Source organism: Homo sapiens, chromosome 1, assembly GCF_000001405.40.
Source record: "Homo sapiens chromosome 1, GRCh38.p14 Primary Assembly".
NCBI classification, from domain to species: Eukaryota; Metazoa; Chordata; class Mammalia; order Primates; family Hominidae; genus Homo; species Homo sapiens.
This window is the reverse complement of record NC_000001.11, coordinates 117,838,232-117,848,361: the sequence shown is the minus strand read 5'-3', so window position 1 is coordinate 117,848,361 and position 10,130 is coordinate 117,838,232. Positions and strand designations below refer to the sequence as shown.

The 10,130-nt window shown below is 39.7% G+C and overlaps 2 annotated features.

Annotated features, from left to right (window-relative positions):
- Positions 4,948–5,613: an enhancer, noted in NCBI's record as "NANOG-H3K4me1 hESC enhancer chr1:118385371-118386036 (GRCh37/hg19 assembly coordinates)". NCBI's record gives its function as "activates a minimal SCP1, AML or CMV promoter by ChIP-STARR-seq in primed H9 embryonic stem cells {active_cell/tissue: H9 hESC(primed)}" and the evidence as "EXISTENCE:reporter gene assay evidence [ECO:0000049][PMID:30033119]".
- Positions 8,829–10,028: an enhancer, noted in NCBI's record as "CDK7 strongly-dependent group 2 enhancer chr1:118380956-118382155 (GRCh37/hg19 assembly coordinates)". NCBI's record gives its function as "activates an origin of replication core promoter dependent on BRD2, BRD4, P300/CBP, MED14 and CDK7 cofactors, with strong dependence on CDK7, by STARR-seq in HCT116 cells {active_cell/tissue: HCT116}" and the evidence as "EXISTENCE:reporter gene assay evidence [ECO:0000049][PMID:35650434]".

The window sequence follows — 10,130 nt, the reverse complement described above, 5'->3', positions numbered from 1 at the left end:
TGTCTGTCTCCAATACTATCTGGTGCTGAGCAGAATACTGGCATTTAATATGTGTTTTTTTTTTTTTTTTTCACTAGCTGATGGGGCTAAGTGCCACCTTGGATTCTCACATTTATTGAAAGCCCTGCTTACTTCTTGTATGATATATAAATATGTAATCCTTTATTACATTACTTTTTTAATGGCTTATTCATTGCCACTATATATGCGAGTGGTATTTAACTGTTTCACACCCATTTTTATGTTTTGTTTGACTTTATACAGTATATAATATTGAAAGTTATCAATTTTCTTAATGAAAAGCCACGCATTATAAAGCCATCTCTTACAATTATGTGGTGAAGGTAGGAAGAACAGAAAGCAAGAAAATCAATGTCTTGCCCTTGTCTAAATATTTAAATATAAGGGGAGGAGTTAATATGACTTCTCGTATTGAGTGAGTTATTTGTAAAGATTGAAAGGGTGGATATATTTTCACTAAGAATTCATTATTTGGTGAATGAAAGAGTGTCTGTCCCATTTTAGAAAGAATGCCTTAATATTGTGCTGTGTTTTAGGGCTTGAAGATTTTTTCTTCTACTACTACCACTTCTTGGTTTGCTTGTTTATAGCACTTACCTTGATTGAGTCTTTCAAAAAGAATACATGCTCTAAAATCAGAAGACCCTAGCTTCTCGGGGTTTTTTTTTTTTTTTTTTATGTGGCCTTTATCTCTGTTCTTTGTTCTCTTCTTATCCCCTCAAAATATAGCTGCAGGTAAATTGTAAACTATGAAGCACTATATCCAACTAGCAAAGTATCATTGTCATCATCACTATCACATCCTTTGTAAATCAAGACCAACCGCATAACCCTAGATATTTAAAGAAATTACCAGAATTATATCTTTGGGAAATGGTCTCTGTCAGCCCAAATCTAATATAATAAATGCAAGCACTTTGCCCAGGCAAATTCCTGAAAAGAACACAGTGCCACAGAAACAGTTCAGAAAGTCCTGTGAGTCTTGGTCAATGATTATCTCCTGTTGCAGAGTTAACATGCTTTGGCAACTGACCCGGAGGTGGGAGAGCGAGAAAAGAAGTGACAAAAGCATCAAGATTCCTCAAGTAGATACGTCCTGAAATGAGTTGGAGTAGACTCAGATGTTGTGTTCAGAATAAAAGCCAGGAGATTTGACTATCTCCATACCAGATTATTGCTGTCTTATTTGAAGAATCTTATTTTGCTATGAAGGGTTGAAAACAAACATTCCTGCAGAGAGCTGTTAGTCCTGACCTTTGCTGAGTACATAATATTCTGGGTGAACTATGAACAGAAATATTGTACTGTACTTTCTTGTCTTATAGTTAGAAAAGTTTTCAAATAAAAATTTTGCACGTGTGATATGACAGTTGCAAGTGAGCATTTGAGGAAACTAGAACTTTATTGCATTGGAGGCTATTCCAGGGAGATTACGTGGTAGTCACTCTACATAGGATGGCTTTATTTGGTCAAAATTCTAGTGAGGTGTGACCTTGCAAAGATTTTTCCAGAGTATTTCTGGAGGATGCCGAACTTGAGTGAATTGTTAACATGTCTAACAGTATTCCTGTGGTCACTCCTGAATTGGATTTTTAACTATGTTAGCTCCAGATGCGAAGAAAGTATATAATAATAGAAAATGACTGTTCTCCATCTTTTAAACAGAAAATTTTGTTAATAAAAATTTCTTCAGGCCATCTCACTACATGGTCCCCGAAGCACTTTCTCCTGAGTAAACCAATAGGCTCTGACTCTTTCTCAACCTCTTATGATAAAAACTGTTTTGATGTACTGTTGGATTCAGTTTGCCAGTATTTTGTTGAGGATTTTTGTATCGATGTTCATAAAGGATATTGGCCTGAAGTTTTCTTCTTTTATTGTGTCTCTGCCAGGTTTTAATATCAGGATGATGCTGGCCTCATAGAATGAGTTAGGGAGGAGTCCCTCTTCCTCAATTTTTTGGAATAGTTTCAGCAGGAATGGTACCAGCTCTTCTTTGTACATCTGGTAGAATTCAGCTGTGTATCTATCTGGTTCTGGGTTTTTTATGTTTAGTAAGCTATTTATTACTGACTCAGTTTCAGAGCTCATTATTGGTCTGTTCAAGATTTAATTTCTCCCTGGTTCAGTCTTGGGAGGGTGTATGTGTCCAGGAATTTATCCATTTCTTCTAGATTTTCTAGTTTATGTGCATAAAGGTGTTCATAATATACTCTGATGGCTATTTGTATTTCTGTGGGGTCAGTGTTAATATCCCCCTTGTTTCTGATTGTGTTTATTTGAATCTTCTCTCTTTTCTTCTTTATTAATCTAGCTAGTGGTCTGTTTTATTAATTTTTTTCAGAAAACTAGCTCCTGGATTTGTTGATCTTTTGAATGCTTTTTCATGCCTCAGTCTCCTTCAGTTCAGCTCTGATTTTGCTTATTTATTGTCTTTTGCTAGCTTTGGGATTGGTTTACTCTTGGTTCTCTAGTTCTTTTAGTTGTGATGTTAGATTATTAAATTGAGATCTTTCTAACTTTTTTGATGTGGGCATTTAGTGCCATAAATTTCCCTCTTAATACTGCCTTAGTTGTGTTCCAGAGATTCTGGCATGTTATTTCTTTGTTCTCCTTAGTTTCATAGGACTTCTTGGTTTCTTTCTTTTTGTATGGAGTTTCGCCCTTGTGGCCCAGGCTGGAGTGCAGTGGTGCAATCTGAGCTCACTGCAACCTCCATCTCCAGGGTTCAAGTGATTCTTTTACCTCAGCCTCCTGAGTAGCTGGGATTACAGGCACCCACCACCACACCCAGCTAATTTTTGTATTTGTAGTAGACAGGGTTTCACCATGTTGGCCAGGCTGGTCTCAAACTCCTGAGCTGAGGTGATCCACCCACCTTGGCCTCCCAAAGTGTGGGGATTACAGGCGTGAGCCACCACACCCAGCCAGGACTTCTTGATTTCTGCCTTAATTTCATTATTTACCCAAAAGTCATTCAGAAGCAGGTTATTCAGTATCCATGTACTTGTATGGTTTTGAGTGAAATTGCATTGTCTTGATTTCTAATGTGATTGTGCTGTCTTCCAAGAGATTGTTTGTAATGATTTCATTTCTTTTGCCTTTGCTGAGGAGTGTTTTACTGCTGATTATGTGATCAGTTTTCAAATATATGCCATGCGGCAATAAGAAGAATGTACATTCTGTTTCTTGGGGATGGAGAGTTTGGTAGATGTCTATCAGGTCCATTTGATCCAGTGCTGAGTTTGGGTCCTGAATATCTGTGTTAATTTTCTGTCTTGATTATCTGTCTAATATTGTCAGTGGGTGTTAGACTCCCACACAATAATAGTCGGAGACTTTATGTCTCTTTGAAGGTCTCTAAGAACTTGCTTTATAAATCTGGATGCTCTTGTGTCACGTGCATTTATATTTAGGATAGTTAGATCTTCTTGTTGAATTGAACCCCCACCATTATCTAATGTGCTTCCTTGTCTTTTTTTAATCTTTGCTGGTTTAAAGACTGTGTCTGAAACTAGAATTGCAACACCTGCTTTTTTCTGTTTTCCATTTGCTTGGTAGATTTTTCTTCATCCCTTTATTTTGAGCCTATATATGTCATTGCATGTGAGGTGGGACTCTTGAAGACAGCATACCAATGGGTCTTGGTTCTTTATCCAGTTTGCTACTCTGTGTCTCTTAATTGAGGCATTTAAATCATTTACATTCAAGGTTAGTATTAATATGTATGGATTTGATCCTGTCATCATGCTGTTAGCTGGTTATTTTGCAGACTTGTTTATATGGTTGCTTTGTAGTGTCACTGGTCTGTGTACTTCAGTGTGTTTTTGTAGTGCCTGGTAATGGTCTTTCCTTTCCATATTTAGTGCTTCTTTCAGAAGCTTTTGTAAGACAGGTCAGGTGGTAACAAATTTCCTAAGTATTTGCTTGTCTGAAAAGTATCTTATTTCTCCTTCACTTATGAAGCTTAGTTTGGCTGGTTATGAAATTCTGGGTTGGAATTTCTTTTCTATAAGTATGTTGAATATTGGCTCCCAATCTGTTCTGGCTTGTAGGGTTTCTGCTGACAGGTCTGCTGTTAGTCTGATGAGCATCCCTTTGTAGGTGACCTGACCTTTCTCTTTACCTGCCTTTAATATTTTTTCTCTCATTTTGACCTTGGAGAATCTGACAATTATGTGTCTTGGGGATGATCTTCTTGCAAAGTAACTTCTGGGGTTCTCTGAATTTCCTGAATTTGAATGTTGGCCTCTCTAGCTAGGTTAGGGAAGTTCTCATGGTTGATATCATGAAAAATGTTTTCCAAGTCAGTTCAATTCTCCCCGTCTCTTTCAGGAACACCAGTGAGTCATAGATTTGGTCTCTTTATATAGTCTCATATTTCTCAAGAGGTTTTGTTCATTGATTTTCATTACTTTTTCTCCATTCTTCTCTGACTCTCTTATTTCAGAAAGCCAGTCTTCAAGCTCTGCAGATTCTTTCCTTGCTTGGTCTATTCTGCTATTAATACTTATGATTCCATTATGAAATTCTTGTAGAGTGTTTTTAAGCTCTATCAGGTTGGTTACATTATTTTCTATACTGGCTATTTTGTCTGTTAGTTCCTGCATTGTTTTATTATGATTTTTAGCTTCCTTAGATTGGATTTTAATGTACTCCTGTAGCTCAGTGATCTTTGTTCCTATCCATATTCTGAATTTTATTTCTGTTATTTCAGCCATCTCAGCCTGGTTCAGCACCCTTGCTGGAGAGGTGATATCATCATTTGAAAGAAAGAAGGCACTCTGGTTTTTTGAGTTGTCAGGGTTCTTGCACTAATTCTTTCTTATTTTTATGGGCTTATCTTACTTCGGTCTTTGAGGTTGCTGACCTTTGGATGGGTTGATTTTATTTGAACGGGTATCCTATTTGATGACCTTGATTGTTATCAAATTGTGATTGTGATATAAGGTGGATTCAGCTGACTGGCTTCATTTCTGGAAGATTTTAGGGAGTCAGTGCTCAGCTCCCACCTCCTGGCCTGTGTGCTCTAACTCTGGGGAACTTGTATTGGGGCCTTGACTTTGTTCTCTGGCTCCTTAAGGTTAAAAATCCACTGTGCTGGAGGTGGCCAAGTTGCTCCCAGACTGCTGGTCACTACACTTCAATGGGTGGTGTCATCCAAAGCATTTTATAGTGCAGTGACAGCAGGCTCCATCCTCATTCACACATGTCAGCAGTAATGGTAGCAGCAGCAGGGTGCCTGCCTCCCTGTGGTCATTCACCACAGTGATAGAGGTAATGCAGCTGTTGGGGAAGACGGCCAGAGGGGCCCCTGCTGGTGACTGTGTGCATGGTCATGTTGGAGGTGGTGTTGACTCAGGAGCAGGACACTAGTGGGCACAGGTCTAGGTGCCTTCTTTGTGCTCTGCAAGCAGGAGTGGTTGCTCAGGGTGGGGGAGGATCTGCTGTTCTCTGCACAGTATTAGCACAAGGGTGGGGCACTGGAAGGGGTGGGGCTGGCTGGCTCTGTGCCCACCAAGGCTCCATCTGCAATGGTGGTCAGTAGAATGAGGTGAGGCAGACTGCACTCTCATGTGCTAGCAGGGCAATAAAAGCAAAACCCACTCATGCAAACACACACCAGCAAAACATTTGGGGAATTGCCATGGGCCCTAGGGGGGAAGCCGCAGTATGGGGAGGGAGTATGTGGGCTGGTATGTGGCAGTAGGAGCCACCCTGTTGGAGCTCTCTGCCAGTCAGGCATGGTCTGCCACCATAAAAACCATGGTGTGGGCCCCCAGGGCACCTGAGACTATTCTGTAAGCAGGTGTGGCCAGGCTGAGGCCCCAGGAGAGGCCACCATACCAAGGGTTGCTCAGGTCACACTGGCCCCATCTGATGGGCAAGATTGCCCTGCAGAATTCAGGACCGACAGTTCCCCTAGGGCTAAAGTCTCCTATAGGAACAAGTCAAGCCTAGTGGGATAGCTGTTCCTGACTGTGCTCTGCTACAGACACGCCCACACCAAACCCTCCAGGCTCCACTTCAGCTGGCTGTCCCTACCACTTCTCTAAGCAGCTCTCTGCCAATTCAAGTGTCCATGGTGGTTGAGAGGTCTCTTCCTGCCAAGGTTCCAGAGGCCCATGGTGAGAGTGGGTTGCTCCTTGTCAGTTCAACTCATTCGTTCCCCTAAAGCCATTGGGAATCAGGAACAAGTCCAAGTGTGCTGTATCCCCATGTAGGGTTTCCAGCTTTCTCCCCTTTCAGCCCAGCTTCTGTGTCTTCCCTTCATTCATAGTGTCTTCCCTTTGAAGATCTGTTAGGAGCATGCTAGTCGTCTCAGTCCCTTGGTGGAAATGATTCCACCTGTCTGTGTCTAGTTGGCCATCTTGCCCTCCCCCTCTACTTTCCTTTATTTTACCTCAAAAGAAAACTGAATTTAACCCAAAGCTGCTTCATCTCTTTGAATTTATACTGTTCCTTTGAGTATCCTTAAAGTCCCATTATAAGCACTACCTTCCATAAAGCTTTGCCCAGTTCTTCTAACCTCATTGATCTGCCTCTGCTGCTCTGCTCTGAACTTAATCCCTATTTTTAGGCCCTTATCCTTAACCTTGCAGAAGAGTCGCTTGTGTTCCTGTCTTGGGTCCCCCTATGTTTCCACAGGCAGAAAACTGCATGCCTTATCCATTCCTCCACTCCCTATGGTGCTTAGCTTGGCATCTTCCTAACACAGGCTAGATGGGCTGTGTCTGTTGCCGCATATGCACATTGTGAAGCAATATGTCATAGACCTCCAAGATAACTAGTATCATCTCTTCATTTTAACATGAGAAAACTGAGATGTACAAAGGCACTCAAAGGTGCAAACTCAAGGTCATTGGTGAGATGGTGGCAGAGCTAGGTCACGTGACTCCCTGTAAATTACCACCTTCTAAAATGTAGAGGGAAATATGATGTCATGGGAGAGTATTTTGTGGTCATGAAATAGTATGGATTGCCTATATCCTGATGGAAATAATACAGCAGAGGGGAAAATCGATGATGCAATGATTGTAAGAGGGAAGTTATCAAGTAGGTAAAAGGGGGAAAAATCCAGTACACAAATAGAGGACTTAGAAACTAGCCTGGACAATTTACCTATAGTGACAGGATGGGATACTGAGTGTGTGGGCATAGATGTAGGTACACTGGTAGATATCAAGAGCATGTGGAGGTTTCCTTCTGAACTTTTCTATTTTTCTATTGAATAAGAAGTATGGTTTACAGATAAAAATGGTTTATGGGTAAAAATGAGGAGGAGGCAGAAGACATTGTAGGTTTGAAGAGAGAAGAGATAAAAGTTTTTCTAGGAGAGTGGGAAAGGGAATTGATGAGGGAATCATAGTATGATTTCAGGCAGCTGTGACCATTAAGGTTTGTGGTCAAACAATGTTTTTCAGTGGAGATGCTGTCAGTGTTTCAGGCAGGCATCTTCCTTGGCATTTAGCATCCCTGGCCCTTGGTAGTACCCCTCAATCATTGTGCTGATCAAAATGTTCTCTGCCCCACTTCCAAACACTGCCCAGGGAACTGAACCTTTCCTGGTTGAGGACCACAGAGAGACCAATCACAAAGTTGCATAGTTTTCTTCAGTCACATTCAGATGTTGGCAGGGACTATGCAAAATCTGGGTTTATGAGTGTTAGGGTTAGACAGAAAAGGACAGTGAAAATAGACAGAGTCAAAGGAATTGAAAGTGTATGTAATGCAGTAATTATAACAGATTTTATGAACAACAAAATACCTCTGCTGGCCTGAGGCAACTCAGGACACCACAGTGGGAAGGGAATTCCTGGCTACCATTGATGAACATTTGGACATGTGTCCAATTTTGGGCTATTATTAATAAAGCTTATATGAATATTTTACACATATCTTTGGGTCGACATATGCATTTATTTCTGTTAGTAATATACACAGAGAAATAGAGTTCTCTTGGGACTTGCTTGATCAAAGGGAATACGTATCTTTAGCTTTATTTAAAATTGCTGTATATTTCCTTAAAAATTACACATACACATACTATGACTTAGCCATTCCATTTCTGGTATTTACCCAAGAGAAAATAAAGTGTATGTCTGCACACACAAAGACTTGCAAATTAATATTCATAGCAGCTTTATTTGTAACAGCAAAGAACCAGAAACAACCCAAATGTTCACCAGCAGGTAAATGGATAAACAAATTGATGTGTAGCCATACGACAGAATAACATTCAATAAAAAACAAAGCAAACAAAATGACTTCTGATACACACAACATGGGTGAATCTCAAAATAATTGTTTTGGGTAAAGAAGCTAGACACAAAGAATACATACTATGTGATTTCATGTATATAAAATTCTAGACAATACAAGCTAATTCATAGTGCTAGAAAGCAGATCAGTTGTTGGCTGCGTGTAGTGAGGATTGATTAGAGAGAAAGGGAAGAATTGCAAAAGGCATGAGGAAACTTCTGGGAATGTGGACATGTTCATTTTTTTTGGCATGGTAATGGATTCATGGGTATATACATATGTTAAAATAAAAATATCAAATTGTACACATTAAGAATGTGCAATTGGGCTGGGCATGGTGGCTCACGCCTGTAATCCCAGCACTTTGGGAGGCCGAGACGGGTGGATCACAAGGTCAGGAGATCAAGACCATCCTGGCTAACACGGTGAAACCCCATCTCTACGAAAAATACAAAAAAAAAAAAAATTAGCCAGGCATGGTCGTGGGCACCTGTAGTCCCAGCTACTCAGGAGGCTGAGGCAGGAGAATGGCGTGAACCTGGGTGATGGAGCTTGCAGTGAGCTGAGATTGTGCCACTGCACTCCAGCCTGGGTAACAGAGTGAGACTCTGTCCCAAAAAAAGAAAAAAAAAAAAAGAATATGCAATTGATTGTATATGAATTATACTGAAAGCTGTGAAAAATTTTTAAAAAATGACTGAGGTTTTCCACAGTGGTTGAACTATTTTAAATTCCTGTCAGCAATGTGTGAGAATTCTAGTTGTCTACCACATCTTTACCAAAAATTGATCTTAATTAGTGCCTTTAATTTAACCATTTGGTTGTAGTGTAGTGGTGTCGCATTGTGGTTTTCATTTGTATTTTTCTGATGTCTAATGATATAAACTTCCTTTTTCATATGCTTATGAGTCATTTGAAAACACTCTTTTGTTGTGTGTCTATTTCCAGTATTTCTCCCTTTTTATTGAATTCCTTAAATTTGTAGTTCTGACTAAGTCCCTTGTCATATGTATTACCTATCTTCCAAAAATCTTCTCACAGTCTGTGGCTTGCCGTTTCACTCTATTGTCTTTGTTGAATAGTTCTTAATGAAATCCAATTTATTACGCTTTTCTCTTTAGCACTTTATATATCTTGTTTAAAATGTTTTAACCTATCTAAAATAATGAAGATTTTTTTTTTCTAGAAGTTTCATTGTTTTAGTTTTCATATGTAAGCTATCACAATTTTTATTTTGGTGTGATGTGAAGTAGAGGATTAATGCTTCTTTTTATTTTAATGGATTCCAATTGACACAATACTGTTCAATGAGAAGACTGGCTCCTCTTGCACTCAATTGCAATGGCACCCTTGTCACAAATCAAGTGACCAAATGAAAACCATTTCTTATGCTTCATTTGTAATTTTTCTTTGCCATGTTTATAGGTTTTATATCAAGAATGTGCTGATCTCGTAAAATACGTAGAGACCAGAGGGTCTCCTTTATATGCTCTGAAACATCTGTACTTTAGAAATTATATATTCTTGACAATTTTGAAATACTTAACCCGTAGTTCTACATGGGGGATAAGGTAAAAAACAAATGAAATACTTAACCTTAAAGCTATTTTTATCCAGTCAGCGTCCAATCAAGGAAACAGAAACCACTCGAGTATTTAAATAAGAAGGTGATATGGTTAGGCTTTGTGTCCCCACCCAAATCTCATCTTGAATTGTAATCCCCATAATCCCCATGTGTCAAGGGAGAGACCAGGTGGAGGTAATTGAATCATGGGGACGGTTCCCCCATGCTGTTCTCATGACAGTGAGTGAGTTCTCATGAGATCTGATGGTTTAATAAGGGGCTC